At 44.5% G+C, this 16,540-nt stretch overlaps 1 long non-coding RNA gene, 1 other non-coding gene and 1 pseudogene across 2 annotated transcripts; 2 read left to right on the top strand and 1 right to left on the bottom strand.

The window, feature by feature from the left end:
* Positions 1-371: 371 nt before the first annotated feature.
* LOC124901770 (uncharacterized) lies at positions 372-1,902 on the bottom strand. Its single transcript, XR_007060583.1, has 3 exons — positions 1,808-1,902; positions 1,523-1,645; positions 372-504 (listed from the first exon to the last, which is right to left on the bottom strand). It is a non-coding gene; the product is annotated as an uncharacterized LOC124901770 (long non-coding RNA).
* Positions 14,979-15,054, top strand: TRY-GTA11-1 (tRNA-Tyr (anticodon GTA) 11-1; annotated as a pseudogene).
* On the top strand, positions 15,962-16,033 carry TRC-GCA13-1 (tRNA-Cys (anticodon GCA) 13-1). The gene has a single exon. It is a non-coding gene; the product is annotated as a tRNA-Cys (tRNA).
* Positions 16,034-16,540: the final 507 nt, after the last annotated feature.

Genomic DNA, 16,540 nt, shown 5'->3' with positions numbered 1-16,540 from the left:
GCTTCTAACTGCTGGTGCATGATTCTTCCACTAGTTTGGAAAAGGCAGTTCTACAAAGGGCTTGCATAACTAACTTAACAGAGTGGTAAAGTCATCCCTGGATGCCAGAGGAATTCATGGTTAGCATGTCTTTCAGCTCAGTGCTACTCATTGTGGTCCATGACCTGAGGCCAGTCCATGAACTCTTTGTTACAGGTCTGTGATGGGAGAAATTCAGAAATTGAGAGTAAATGCTGAGAAAGTCTATAACAATCTTCCATTGGCCAGTTCTGGTGGTGTGGTGGGTCTCAAAGTCTGCAAGTCTGATGGACCAGTGTTGATTCATGACAGATTTTAAGGAAATAAAAATAAAGCTGGGTTTTCACCACAGATAGATTGAAAAGCATGGCTTTAATTCACCCCTCCTGGAGATTCATTTCTGAGAACTCTTTAGTGTGGAGCAGCTGGCACTTCAAGATTTCACTCACTGTGTTCATCAGGGCCCTTAGGGACCAGCAACAGAACCTAGATTGAGCAGTAAAAGTTTATTAAAAGCATCTCTCTCACAAGGTAGAGTTGTGGAAAATGAGTCTCCAGTCTAACCTTTCAGAAAAAATGCCCCAAACCACCCTGCAGAACTGGCCCACTGAAGAAACAAAAATGCAGGTGCCACCTTGCACCAGATGACACAGTCTACATTCCAGACACCACAACTCATACCACTTCTCTACCAGAAACTCAAGCCCTCAAAACTGGAAAACAACAACACCATCCTTGCAAGCCAAATGGACCCTGCCCCTCCCTCTTCCCTCTTCAGGCCTTAAAAGGGTACATCCCATCACTGGAGCCCAGGCCCATTCCATAAACTCAAAGGGGCCTGGAGAACAAGTTTTCTAGCTTCTATTTTGAGGTTGCTGGTCTTATAAGGAAGACATTCCCCACGTACAGCTAGTGCACTCAAAGATTCTGCACCGTCAGAAAATATGAAAATGTCCCTCACAAACACATCAGATTTTTGAATACAGTACAAAAAGAATGTAAAATATCTTGTTAGCTTAATTACATGTTGCAATAATAATATTTTAGATATTTGGGTTAAATGGAATATTGCATTAAAATAAATTTCAATGATTTGTTTTTATGTATTAATGTGTCTACTAGAAACTATGAAATTACATATATGGCTCACATTTGCAGCTTGCATTATATTTCTATTGGACAGTGTTGCTCTAGATGAAGTGTGGTCTCAGAATATAAGACCGGGATGGTGTCACCAATCAGTGGGGAAAGGGTGGACTATACAATAAATGGTGCTTGAATAATTGTCTTCTAAACAAAATCACAATGTGATCCCTACCTCACTCCATTAAAAAAATACAGATGAGGCCAGGCATGGTGGCTCACGCCTGTAATCCCAGCACTTTGGGAGGCTGAGGTAGGTGGATCAGCTGAGGTCAGGAATTCGAGACTAGCCTGGCCAACATGAGGAAACCCCATCTCTACTAAAAATACAAAAAAAGTAGCCAAGTGTGGTGGTGGGTACCTGTAATCCCAGCTACTCAGGAGACCGAGGCAGGAGAATTGCTTGAACCCAGGAGGAGAAGGTTGCAGTGATCCAGGATTGCGCCACTGCACTCCAGCCTGGTCAACAAGAGTGAAACTCCATCTGAAAAAAAAACACAAAAAAACAAAAAACCAGATGAATTAAAGACCTAAATATGAACTCAAACTTTTGGTAGAATATACAGAATACACACACACACACATGCACAAACACACACACACACACATACATATATATTGTTAAAGAAAAGTTATTCAATGATACTTGTTAAAGCACAGTGAGGAAGCCATTGCAATAGGTATAGAGACCACTGCAGCAACTGGGCTTTGCAGTGGGGGAGACAGACAGGGCTCAACTCTGAATACAGCATGGCTAAGTAGGTATTTATAGCCAAGGAGCAGGGTTAGGGGTCAATGGATGGAAAATTACTAAGTAACATCAGGAGTAAGGGGAATTCTGGCTAAACTGGCCTAACAGGATTCTTGCTGAAGACAGGCCAGGGAAATCAGACATCATCACCTGGTAGATGATGAAGGAGGAGGAAGTTGACCAGCTATTATATTCATGTCTAAAACACCAAAAGCAATGGCAACAAAAGCCAAAATTGACAAATGGGATCTAATTAAACTAAAGAGCTTCTGCACAGCAAAAGCAACCACCATCAGAGTGAACAGGCAACCTACACAATGGGAGAAAATTTTTGCAACCTACTCATCTGACAAAGGGCTAATATCCAGAATCTACAATGAACTCAAACAAATTTACAAGAAAAAAACAAACAACCCCATCAACAAGTGGGTGAAGGATATGAACAGACACTTCTCAAAAGAAGACATTTATGCAGCCAAAAAACACATGAAAAAATGCTCATCATCACTGGCCATCAGAGAAATGCAAATCAAAACCACAATGAGATACCATCTCACACCAGTTAGAATGGCGATCATTAAAACGTCAGGAAACAACAGGTGCTGGAGAGGATGTGGAGAAATAGGAACACTTTTACACTGTTGGTGGGACTGTAAACTAGTTCAACCATTGTGGAAGTCGGTGTGGCGATTCCTCAGGGATCTAGAACTAGAAATACCATTTGACCCAGCTATCCCATTACTGGGTATATACCCAAAGGATTATAAATCATGCTGCTATAAAGACACATGCACATGTATGATTATTGCAGCACTATTCACAATAGCAAAGACTTGGAACCAACCCAAATGTCCAACAATGATAGACTGGATTAAGAAAATGTGGCACATATACACCATGGAACACTATGCAGCCATAAAAAAGGACGAGCTCATGTCCTTTGTGGGGACATGGATGAAGCTGGAAACCATCATTCTGAGCAAACTATCGCAAGGACAGAAAACCAAACACCGCATGTTCTCACTCATAGGTGGGAATTGAACAATGAGAACACATGGACACAGGAAGGGGGAACATCACACACCGGGGACTGTTGTAGGGGGAGGGGGAGGGATAGCATTAGGAGATATGCCTAATGCTAAATGATAAGTTAATGGGTGCAGCACACCAACATGGCACATGTATACATATGTAACAAACCTGCACGTTGTGCACATGTACCCTAAAACTTAAAGTATAATAATAAAAAAAAAAAGAAAAGAGTGCTCAGATATCAAGGGTGTAGGGGTTTTTGCTAAACTGGCTTAGCAGAACTCTTGGCTAAAACTGGACTTTATAAGGAAGTGTACAGATGGGCACAGATTGGGGGCTTGTGTTTAAGATTTATATATCTGATAGTATAAAATTGCTAAATTGGTACACTCACTATGGAGAAAATTTTGGCAATAAAAACAGCAAAATAAGTATATAAATCATATAGACCTATAAGAGTATACTTAAAAGTATGCATAAAATTCAGGAATTTCACTTCTTGGTACATCTGAGAAACTCTAGCATAAGTTTCTCAGGAGATGTGCACAAATGTTCTTTGCAGCACTATTGTTAATTTGAAAACAAACAAAAAAGAAATGTCCTGAGTATGTCCCTTTATAGTGGAATAGATAAATAACACTTTCTGGACTCTTATAATGTAATTTTTTAAATTATGCAGTTTAAAGAAAGTTTAAGCTGAGGGTGCAAGATAAAATAGGTATCAGATACCAAAAGTAGGCATGAGAGAGCACCATGTGGAAATTTCAAAGTCATGTCTGATAACCAGATGGCTTCCTACCAGGAGGGTATAAGAGGGTCAGTTTGTTGGAGATTAGAGTGTTGGTGAGGAATACATTTTCCTGCTCTTCTCAAGGGGAAAGAGTTGAGTGGGGGGTTTCCCCTAACTCAAGCCTAGTAAAGGAGCTTCAAGGAGTCTCAGCTCACAGAACTTGGTCCACATGCCCTGGAGTCGGGGTTTGCGATGGAGCAGAGTCCAGCACAAAGGAGGGCACAAAGCTAAGCAGGGGTGGCTGCCCTGCAGGTGGGAGTGTGATGCAGCTCTTGGAAATGGGCCTGCATCACCAGCATGGGCTGGGGACCAAAGGCACAGGGGTGTTCCCTGCAGGCCACACAAGAGAGAAAGCTACTCAGGAGCTATGTTAAACTCTGCCCAAGAGGATGAGTCATGGACCCCAACAGAGAGAATCTGTGTGACATGGAACCCAGAAAGCCAGAGGTGCAGGTAGAAATGTCAGCCTAAGAGAGGTGTGTGCCAGGTCACAGAGGCAGTCAGATGTTCCCAATGAAGCCCTTTGAAGAATCCCATGGAAATATCCAGGGAGTCATTTTAAACACTTGCCAAGCCCAGAAAAAACAAACCTATCTTATTACAGTGCCAGGCAAGTAAGAACTTTCTCATTCTCCTTTTCCTCTCCTCCCCTCTTCCCCCTCTCCCCACCCTAGATGCTAGGGATGAATGCTAGATGGGGACAGGGAAAGGAGGGACCATGACTCAATTCTTCCACTTCTAGCGGAAGATAGATGCTCCAGTCGATTTCAGAGTATCAGTTATTCCATGGGACTGAACATTTTAATGACTGAATTAAGATTGCAGCTATGGGACTTTCTGCTACCTAAGAGTAATCATTAAAGCCTCTTTGACAAGAAAAAACCATTTCACTGAGAAAGTTTAAAAGGGGCAGTGAGGAGCAAAAATGGAATTGCTTTTATTATCACCTCATGAGTGCTCCACATTCAACAGCTGCAAAAGTGACCAGATAGCTCTCAAAAAGAACAGTGTCATGTGCAAGGAATTTAAGATACAGAACTATATGTTTAGCATTATCTCATTTGGGTTGTTTAAACATACACAGAAAATATGGAATATTGTTTCTGTATACCCATATATAAATATAAAAGTATTTTTAAAATGGGACTTGTATCCAGAATACATAAAGTTGTCAAAATTTAACAAAAAAAGTCTATTTCAAAAATGAGCAAAATATTTAAAGACATTTCGCTGAAGAGGATATTCAGTTGGCAAATAAGCACATGAAAAGATGTCAACATCATCGGCCATTAGGAAAATGATAATAAAGCTACAATAGGATATCACTACTCTCCCATCAGCATAACTAAAATAGAAAAGTGATATTATCAAATGCTGTTGAGGATGCAGAAAAACTGGATTACTCATACATTACTGGTAGAAACGTAAAATGGTACTGTCACTCTACAAAAGAGTTTGGCAGGTTCTGACCAAGCCAAACATGTGCTAACTGTAGGACCCAATAATTGCACTCTTGTGCATTATCCCGAAGAAGCAAAATTTTTTTTTCTCAGAAAAATCTGTACCCAAGTGTTCATAGAAGTTTTATTCATAATGGCCAAAAGCTGGAAACAACCCAAACATCCTTCAATATGTGAATGAGGTTTAGCAAACTATTGTTCATCTGTATGATGAAATACTACTCAGCAATAAAAAGGAGTAGACCATTGATACACACAAAAACTTCGATAGATCTCTAGGGATTTATGCTGAGTGAAAGAAAGCCAATCTCAGAAGGTTACATATTGTATGGCTTCATGCACAAAACAATCTTGAAATCATAAAATTATAGATGTGGGAAATGGATTAGTGGTTGCCAGGATTAGAGAGGGATGAGGAGGGAAAGTAGCTGTGGCTATAAAAAGGTGGCATGAGGGACCCTTGTGAGGAAACTGTTCTATAGGTTGACTGTGGTGGTGGCCATATAAGTCTACATCAGTTATAACATTGCAAAGAACTAAACACACACACACAGGTGCATGTAAATCTAATGACATCTGAATAAGATTGGTGGGGCTTGTATCAATGTCAGTTTCCTGGTGGTGCTATTGTACACTAGTTATTCAAAATTATATTATTGGAGAAAATTAGCTGAAAAGTACTTCAGTTATCTCAAAAAGTTGAAAAATAAAAACCAAGTGGAAAGTGGAAGGATGCAGCCTAAATTCATGATAATAGTTGTCTTTAGGGAGGGGAGGAATGGGAGTGGATTGGGAAGGAGGATGTTGCAGGGGACATAGCTGTGTTGGTGATGTTTCACTACCTTAAAATGATGGGCCAGTTCTAACATGATAGCAGTTACCACTTCTGGGTGTTAAGTATATTGGTGATTCTTAAATTATTCTATGTAGTTTTCTATAAAATAAAAAGTATTTTTGAAAGGTGGGGGAGTAACTTTGGTGGCTTGATGGATATCCAGGTGGGGAGCATAGGCACACAGAAGGGCCAGCAAGCAGACACACTGCAGGTGAGCCTACCTCAGGGAAAGTTGCCCATTCAGGGCCTGGGATTGACCTGCAGAGGAGGGGTCTCTGGTCCCAACACAGAAGCCCTTGTTTGTTCAAGCTTTGTTTCTGGGGAACCTAGACTTAGTGTCCAGCCCCAGCAACTCCAGCTGGGCCAACCTGCTGGTTTGAGGCCCTGGGACAGGTAGAACTGTTGCCCTGCCCTAGGATGAGGGCTGAAAACCTCTGTTAGTATGTCTCCTGTGCCAGTTATCAAAGTATTGTCTCTTGACTCCAAATGCATCCCTCATTGCCTGCTCTGTGATAATGGAGTGGGACCCTGTAACTATTTCTCCCTAGTCAGTGGCACAACGTTATGCTTTGTCAGTAGAAGGTGCAAGAGGGATGCTGGGGAAGGAAAGGGTTTGTATTCCTGGTTGTGGTGCACTCTGCCTGGAGGCTCCTGCAGCGTGTGCAGCATCTGCAGCTCTGGGCTCGCACAGTACACTGAGCCAGCAGCATGTGTCTGCTTTCTCTGGAGTGTTGCTGCATGGCACCTCCTTGTGAATGGCTTCCTCAGCACCTTTCAGGCAGCTTTGCAGCAACTTCTGAGGGCAGCACTTTCTCATGGTTGGTTTCCCCAAGAACTCCCATAAAGTTTCCCAGTGACTGCTGCAGGTGCAACATCTCCCTGTGGGTCGTTGCCCCCAACACCCTAAGGGGTGGATTCCCCTTGAACTCAGCTGCTGTGGCATCTTAGTGAATTTCTCCACTCTGTAAGCCATGACCACAGCCTTTTCAATAAAGCTTAAATCTCAGCCTGCGGTGGAGGTGGGGTTTTTCCAGATCTGTTCCTTCCTTGGGTGCCCTTTCTCAGCCCTAGGATAGGGTTTACTCCCTATATCTGCTCTTCCTATATTCTTTAGAGTTCTCTTTGCCCCTCACTAGTCAATGTCCCTCACTATTCCAATCCTCTGCTAGAGTTACTATTTCTGTATACTAACCTTTTCCAAGTTAAGTTACCATGTGGTTTCTGTCTTCCTATTGGATCCTGATTGGTACAGAATTGATACCAGAGGCAAGGTGGTAGCAATCAGTAGATAGCTTCACACCATGGGTTTGGGGAATTGGTTTGTTTGTATTCTTGGCTTGAATGCAATGTGGAGCCCCTTGCCAATGAGAAATAATGGGATGCTAGTAGTCCATGGCATACACTGGCATCACAACCAATCAAGCTATCACTGTGGTTGATTGTGTTAAGTGTTAAATGAAGTAGATGTCTTGGGAGCCCAAGTGGCTGCTGTTTTAATGATGGCTGCAAGAACTATAATATGGGATTGATTCTTCTGAGTGCACTTGACCTCTTTCAGGAGGAAAATGACAAGCTTGGATTTTTGGAACCCTGTAGACATAAGCTTAAGCTTGTTGTTCACAGGCAAAAGGCAGAAGGATGTAGAGAGAATAGAGGAATTGCAGACCTAGTGGCTGTTTGAGGTCTCACTCTCTCAAGGAAGTCTTAAGTCCTCTTACAATTGAGTCAGGCACATCCAGGATAATCTCCCTTTAGATTAATTTATAGTCAGCTGATTAGGTTTATTCCATTTGCAAAATCCTTTCATCTTTGCCAGATAAGTAACATAATTGCTGAAACGACATCCCATCACCTTTGCTATATATATGTTTATTTTATTTATTTATTTTATTTTATTTTTGAGATGGAGTTTCGCTCTTGTTGCCCAGGCTGAAGTGCAATGGCGCGATCTCGGCTCACTGCAACCTCCGCCTCCCGGATTCAAGCTATTCTCCTGCCTCAGCCTTCCTGAGTAGCTGGGATTACAGGCATGCACCACCAGGCCTGGCTAATTTTATATTTTCAGTAGAGATGGGGTTTCTCCATGTTGGTCAGGCTGCTCTTGAACTCCTGACCTCAGATGATCCACCTGCCTTGGCCTCCTAAAGAGCTGGGATTACAGGCATGAGCCACTGCACCCAGCCTGCTATATGTTGTTGATTAGAAAAAAGTTACACATCCCATCCACACTCATGGGGAAGCAACTACACAAACATATGGATATTAGGGTACAGGAGTTGTGGGGGCCGTCTTACAGCTCTACCTACCACATCTTCCACTACAACATACCAAGGAAGCTCTGGCATTTCAAGTTCATTTGGTGTAGGCTACCTTTGGGCCTGTTTTTCAGTCAGCCACACTAGCAGAATGTGGATATAGTCTGCATTTGACTGCAAATTAAAGAAGTCTCTGGTTCAAATCCAGCTGTCCCCTTTGAAGATATCCTTTCAGAGTCATTCCCAGTCCGTGGAGCTAACACACTAAATCTGGAAAATCTCAGCTCAGTGAGCCCATTTAAATACATTCAGCCTGATCCAACTTTATATTCCTTCTACTTTGAGCTGACTTTGGTAGTTTTAAAGTATGTTAACATTTCTCCCTTGGAGATGTGAAGCTTAATTATCTTCCATGTGCTTAGTAAGACACTATGTTTAGTGTTACTGAGTTTAGTAACACACTTGTAATGAATAGAATATGGTGGAAATGACAATGTGTCACTTCTGAAACGAAGTCATAAAATACACTGTGGCTCTACCTTGCTCTCTCTTGGATAAAAACTCAGGGAAGCCAGTTGTCATGTCATAAGGACACATCAAACAGCCCTGTAAGAGGCTCACATGGCAAGGAATTGAGGTCTCCTGCCAACATGCATTAAGGAACTGAGTCCTCTTTCCAATAGCCATGTGAGTGAGTCAGCTTAGAGTGGTTCCTCTAGCCCCAGTCAAACTTTCAGATGACTGCAGCCCCAGCTGACATCTTATCTGCAATCTAATAGGAGACCCTGAATCACAGCCACACAGCTAAGTCATTCCCAGATTTCTGAACCTCCAAGACTGCATGATATAAAACAATAAATGTTTATTGTTTTAAGCTGCTAAGTTTGGGGTGATTTTGTTATGCAGCAATATATAAGTGTAGACATACCTTGGAGATACTGCAGGTTCAGTTCTAGACTACCACTGTAAAGTGAATATTGCAATAGAGTGAGTCACATGGAATTTCTTATTACCTAGTGCATATAAAAGTTATGTTTATACTGTAGTCTATTAAGTGTGCAATAACATTATGTCTAAAAAAGCAATGTACATTGCTTACATTAAGGTATGCAAGGTACATTGCATACCTTAATTTAAAAGTACTCTATTCCTAAAAAATGCTAATGATCATCTGAGCCTTCAGTTGTAATCTTTTTTTACTGGTAGAGGGTCTTGCCTTGATATTGATGGCTGCTGACAGATCAGCATGATGGTTGCTGAAGTTTGGAGTGGCCATGACAATTTCTTAAAATAAAACAATGAAGTTTGCCACATCAATTTACTCTTCCTTTTATGAAAGATTCCTCTGTAACACGTGATGCTGTTTGATAGAGTTTGACCAATGGTAGAACTTCTTTCAAAATTGGAGTCAATTCTCTCAAGCCCTGCTGCTGCTTTATCAACAAAGTTTAAGAAATATTCTATGTCTGTTGTTGTCATTTCAACAGTGTTCACAGCGTTGTCACCAGGAGCAGATTCTATCTCAAGAAATCACTTTCTTTGCTCATCTGTAAGAAGCAACTTTTCATCCATTCAACTTTGATCATGAGATTGTAACAATTCAGTCACATCTTCAGGCTCCCCTCCTAATTCTAGTTCTCCTGCTATTTCCACCACATCTGCAGCGACTTCCTTTACTGAAGTCTTGAACCCTTCAAAGTCATCCATGAGGGTTGGACTCAAATTCCAAACTACTGTTATTGTTGCCATTTTGACCTCCTCCCAAGAATCATGAATTGTCTTAATGGCACCTAAAATGGTAAATCCTTTCCAGAAAGTTTTCAATTTACTTTGTCCGGATCTGTCAGAGGGACCACATTATCTATCACAGCTACAGCCTTATAAAATGTGTTTCTTAAGTAATACAACTTCAAAGTCAAAATTATTTCTTGATCCATGGGCTGCAGAATGGATGTTTTCTTCACAGGCATGAAAATAACATTCATCTTCTTGTTCATCTCCATCAGAGCTCATGGGTCACCAGACACATTATCAATGAGCGGTAATATTTTAAAAGGAATCTATCTGAGTAGTAGATGTCAACAGTGGGCTTTAAATATTCAATAAGGCATGCTGTAAACAGATGTACTCTTATCTAGGCTTTGTTATTCCATTTCTAGAGTACAGGCAGATTATATTGAGCATAATTCTTAAGAGCTCTAGGACTTTCAGAATGGTAAATGAGCATTGGCTTCATCTTAAATCACCAACTGCATCAGCCCCTAACAAGAGAGTCAGGTTGTCCTTTGAAGCTTTTAAGCCAGGCATTGACTTCTCCTCTCTAGCTATGAAAGTCCTAGATAGCATCTTCTTCTAATAGAAGAGTGTTTCATCTACATTGAAAATCTGTTGTTTATGCAGCCACCTTCATCAGTAATCTCAGCTAGATCTTCTGGATAACTTGCTGCAGCTTCTCCACCAGCACTTGCTGCTTCACTTTGTCTTCTTATGTTCCTTAAACCTCATGAACCAATTTACGTAGCCTCAAGCTTTTCTTCTGAAGCTTCCTCACCACTCTCAGCTTTTATAGAATTGAAGGGAGTTCGGGCCTTGCTCTGGATTAAACTTTGGCTTAAGAGAATCTTATGGCTGGTTTGATCTTCTATCCAGACCACTCAAACTTTCTCCATATCAGCAATATGGCTGTTTTGCTTTCTTAACGTTTGTGTGTTCACTCAAGTATCACTTTTAATATCCTTCAAGAACTTTTCCTTTGCATTCACAACTTGGCTAACTGGTGCAAGAGGCCTAGCTTTCAGCCTGTCTCAGCTTTTGACATGCTTTCCATACTAAATTCAATCATGCTTAGCTTTTGATTTAAAGTGAGAGATGTGCAACTCCTCCTTTTATGTGAACCCTAATTAGAGGCCAGTGAAGGGTTAATTGGCCTAATTTCAATCTTGCTGTGTTTTAGTTGTTAGGGAGGCCCGAGGAGGGAGAGACAGGAGAATGGCTGGTTGGTGGAGCAGTCAGAACATACACAACATTTATCGATTAAGTCCACTTTCTTATATGGGTTTGGTTCATGGCACCCCAAAACAATACAATAGTAACATCAAAGATCACTGATCACAGATCACCATAACAGATATAATAATTTTCAAAAGTCTGAAACAATGTGAGAATTACTCCTTGCACCTGGGCAGCTTTTCCGAGCTCTGGGGCAGTGGGTGGGTGGGTGGGGCTGGTTTGTCACAAATCCTAGGCTTCTGCTTTCCCTTGTTGCTTATCTGAAAAAGTTTGAAATAATGTGAGCCTTACCAAAGCTCACATGGAATCATGAAGTGGGCACTTGTTGGAAAAATGGTGCCAATAGACTTGTTGGATGCAGGGTTGCCACAAAACTTCAATGCATAAACAAACAAACAAACAAACAAAAAACCCCACCAGTATCTGCAAAGCAAAATAAAGTGAAATTCAATAAAACAAGGTATTCCTGTAATCAGAGTCCCCCTCCCATTAGCACTGACACATCTCTCCTAGGATCAGCCAGGCCTCGGACCACACTGGGAAGGTACAAAAAAGACAATGATCTGGAGATGACAAAGCCTAAAGAATCAAAAAAATTAGAAGATTGATGTCATCCTGGATGGGAGGAGGGGTTAAAGGGAACACAAAAAGGAGAACTGAGCAATGAGGAATGCAGGACAGCTCTCTAGGTGGCCTTGGATGAACCAAGTTCTCCACACTTTCTTGCTTGTAGTTCTGAGGAATAACTGTAGAACATGCTGGGAATGCAACATCCTGAAATATGGAAGAAGGGGCCAAAACATCCCAGGTGCTGTTCCAGTCCCTCCTAGAAACAGGATGTCCATCAAGGCTTTATCCTAGCAAGTCATGAGACTCTGGCGTATAAAACCCAGGGTGGGCTGCTTACCAGGGTCCCTGAGCTGTGGGGCAAGTGAGGCATGCACAGACGAGACTTCATTTATTCTGGGCCGATTTTCTGAGCTTTGGGGGGCTGGTTTGTCACAAATCCTAGGCTTCTGCTGTTCCTTGCTGCCTATGTGTAAGTAATAAACCCATTTCATGGTGCTCACGTGTTTGGGAGTGCTCTGTCTCATTGAAGTCAGGCAAGTAGAGTGATGGCAGCAGCAGGCCATGAAGAGTGGCCACTTGCATCATGCTGGCTGCAGTGGGGAGGTGTGGGCTGTGGTGGCAGGAGGCTGTGGGAGCAGCAGTGGTGGCAGTGCGGCCCCTGTGTCCTGTGTTCCTGAGGCAGCCGACTGCACCACCCCCGTCCTCACATGGCCAGGCAAGACCTGCTCCCAGGCCCAGAGCCTCCACTGTAGCCTCAACCTCACTCCCCAATGCATCTTGGGAGCCTGCAAACACCCAGCCAAAGGTGCAGCCAGGACTCATGGGACCAGCCCCAAAAGCATGGAGTTTATTCATGTGGGGTTGGCCAGGGCACCTCATCCACCATCACTGCAGGGAAAGTGCAGAGAGGAGGTGAGCAGTCCCCAAAGCCCACCCCTGGGAGCCCCCCGGAGCCTGCTGCCCTGGGAGCTGGCACAATGGTGCCAGGCTGAGTCACCTATCGGTGGGAGAGTAGTGCAGCCATGAACAGAGGGGTGGGCAGAGACAGACCCTGAGGTGGAGTGGGGCCTGGGATGGTGCTGCACTCCACAGAGCTGGCAGGAGCTCCCCAAGGGCAAATGCAGCCACCCAAGCTGTGGCTGCAGACCTGGGCATCCCTAAGCTCTCGGGGGCCAGAAGCAGGCAACGGCCCCACCCTCCTGGGCACAGCTGCAGCTGCCCAAGCTGCAGCTGCAGACCTAGGCATCTCTGCACTCTCAGGGACCCAGGAAGGGTCCCCCCTGTCTCCAGTAGGCTTGGAAGTGCCTGATCCCACTGTCTGGCTTCTCTCTGCTGTCAACACCTACTCCAATCACACAGCAAAGCTGAGGCCGAGCCCAAGCACTGTCATAACCTGGCTGAGTATGTGCACACTCGGGACAGCGGTGACACACCAGCCCCCTGCCCACTTGGCCCCCTCTGGACTTTGGGCACCAACAAGCACAGGAGGGAGGCTGAAGAGGGGCTGAGGGCAGCTCGGTGCTGGCCTGCAGGTACCCTTCAGCATAAAGAGCCTGGGCACTACGAACAGTGGCAAGAGGCAGACAGGCTCCTGGGCAGAAAGGGGCAGGTCCCCAGTGAAGCCCCACCTTCAAGCTGGGGAAGGCCTGAAGCCTGGGAACCAAGCTGCCAGTCCCATGGACCAGAGTGGGTACTTACAGTGCTTTTTCTGGGCCTGCCCATGGCCACCCATGGACCCATCGGCATGCACTTTCTCCCCTCTAAGGCCCATAAAAAACCCTGGACTCAGCCACACCAGAAGAGATGACGGGACAACCAGCTGCAGAAGGGAGCTACCCTCTCTGCTGAGAGCTCAAGAGATGATGGGACAACCTGCCTGCAGAGAGGAGCTACCCTCTCTGCTGAAAGCTGAACACTCATCGGGACACCATGGCTATGTAGAGGAGCTACCGACTGTGGGTTTCCTCTGAGCTGTTCTATTGTTCAATAAAGCTCCTCTTCGTCTTGCTCACCCTCCACTTGTCTGTGTACCTCATTCTTCCTGGACACAGGACAAGAACTCAGTACCCACCAAATGGGGTTGCTAAAAGAGCTGTAACACAAACAGGGCTGAAACATGTCCCTTGCTCACCACGTTGTGGGTGACAAGAAAAAGAGAAGAGAGAAGGAGAGAGGAGCTGTAGCCACAGACCTAGGAGCTCCCTGAGCCAGGGCTGTGACACCCCCTTTAGGGCTCTGTGGTTCCTGGCATCTCCGAGCTTCCAGGCACCACCGCATTTTCTGGTGTGAGCTGTGGAAGCTGCTTATGGTATGCTTGGTCCAGCTCCAGCCTTGCAGGGAGCTGGCATCCATGCCAGTGCCTGGAACTGCCCGCCCCACCACAGCCAGTGTGTCTGGCTATGGACAGTGGCCAGACCCCACGCTCACTCACGGACCCCTTGCCACTTCATGCCTGGCTTGCCTTGGCAAGTGTGGGATTCAGGCCAGTAGTGTGAGCTGGGCACTGTCTGACAGGCTGAGTGGGTAGAACAAGCCCAGAAGGCCAGAGCAAAACTCAGGCAAAGGCACCACTGGTCATAGAGGTTTCTGGCTGGCAAAGCAACACCCCAGGGATTCTGTAAGGGTGCAGCCTGAGATGCAGTGGGCCGAAGTGGTAACCAGTGCACAGTGAACCTGCTTTGTAAGGGGCACGACATATGAGGCAAAAAAGCTAAAATACTGTTTTAATGTTCAACTGCCTTAAACAAATGTGGAATTTGAAGGAGAATTCAGGGAGGTCATCTTGGTCTCACACTGGGGGTTATTAGAAAGTGATCTCAACTGAAAAGCTGGCAAAGAAAGTTTGAATCCTTGGCTCTGTAAGCAGCACCTTCCCTCTGGGCTTCATCTTCTGCCTGTATACGAAGCCAGGTACAGACTTTGTTGTCTCATACAGAACCTCCAGTGGACATCCAAGCTGATGTCAAGAAATGTTCGTTTCTTTTTGGAAAAGGAAGATAGTTATGGCATAAGGAGATCCACTTACAGTTGAACAGGACCAGCAACTCTGTTGAGTCAGCATGAGCACCTGTATGTATGTATGGAACTATAAGAAAGTATAAATTATATACTATTCTCAATTATAGCTCAGTGGTAGAGCATTTAACTGTAGATCAAGAGGTCCCTGGATCAACTCTGGGTGCCCCCTTTAAAGAATTCATTTTCCTCCTTGAGCCGAACTGACAAAATCGAGTTTTACTTGAGTAGAGACCATAGTGCAGTCCACTCACAGAAGGAAGCTGATGAGCTTATGAAACAGTGCCTTTATGACCTTCTTCCTATGGCCATCCCCTACAATTCAGGATCCAACCAGGTGCTCAGCACTGCCTTAGAGACCAAGGACAAGACCAAGTCCATCCCAATACCCTCCTTGAAGGTATGTTTCCTAGTGCCCCACTGGTAGCTATTTCTGTATCATTCAGGGTCCAGTTCTGAGACAAAAACTGCACCAGTTACTTTAGCAGAGAGAATTCAACATAATTGTGGAGGAATGTTTTAGTTTTCTAGGGCTGCCCTAACAAAGCACCACGATATATGAGGCAAAAAAGCTAAAATACTGTTTTAAAGTTCAACTGCCTTAAACAAATGTGGAATTTGAAGGAGAATTCAGGGAGGTCGTCCTGGTTTCACACGGTGGGTGGCGGTGGGGGGTGGGGGGCGGTCATTAAAAAGTGATCTTAGCTGAAAAGCTGGCAAATCCAGTATCCAGAAAATGTGGGTTCTATCTTTGAAGTGTTGCAGGCTTGGCCAAACCATTGGGCATTTTGAGTCTCTGTTTGCAGGCCCCGGCACAAAACCCACAACATAGGTGTCACTAGAGAGCCTTCCAGCTGTCGGGGGACTGCTCCCCAGATCCCTGCACTTACTCAGGAACTGAGAGTGGAGAGGTGGCAGAGCTGTGGGAGAAGGAACTGGTTGCTTCCTCTAAGACAGGGTGTTGAGTTGGCAGCAAGTCAGGCCTTGTAACTCAGAAACCCATCCTGAAGCGGAATCTAGGACAGCAGGTCTGGGTGTGGCTGCACAGGGAAAGGTTGTTAATTGGACCTTACTAATGTAACTGGGGGTATAGCTCAGGGGTAGAGCATTTGACTGCAGATCAAGAGGTCCCCAGTTCAAATCTGGGTGCCCCCTAGCATTTTAAACATGAAAGGTGGTAAAGGAGTCCTAGTTTATTTTCCCATTGCTGAGCCCAGTTTCTGAGTCTCTGTGCAAAGGCTGAAGAATCAGAGGACACCCTCCCCCACTGAGCAGTTGGCGTTTCTCTCAGCTCCCACTCCTCTGATCTTCCCAATACCCCCTCGCCTGGTCCTTGGGCTTTGCAATATATACCTTGATCTTCTGGCCATGGGTGAGAACTAGGTCCTTTAGAGGGTAGCTGGTGAGAAATATGAAATCACCCACTGCTGGCCAGAAGATAGTGTGGTAACACATTCAATGAGAGGAAATAACAGCCAGGTCAGAATTCTGTTCCCTGAAAAACGATTCTTCAAGAATAAACAATTGCTGAGAAAAATTACCACCAACAGATCCTTACTAAAGAAAATTCCAGGCCGGGCGCAGTGGCTCAGGCCTGTAATCCCCGCACTTTGGGAGGCCAAGGCAGGTGGAGTTCAAGACCAGCCTGGCCAAGAAGGTGAA

The sequence above is a fragment of the Homo sapiens genome, chromosome 7 (assembly GCF_000001405.40).
Source record: "Homo sapiens chromosome 7, GRCh38.p14 Primary Assembly".
Taxonomy (NCBI): Eukaryota; Metazoa; Chordata; class Mammalia; order Primates; family Hominidae; genus Homo; species Homo sapiens.
This window is presented reverse-complemented; position numbering and strand designations above follow the sequence as displayed.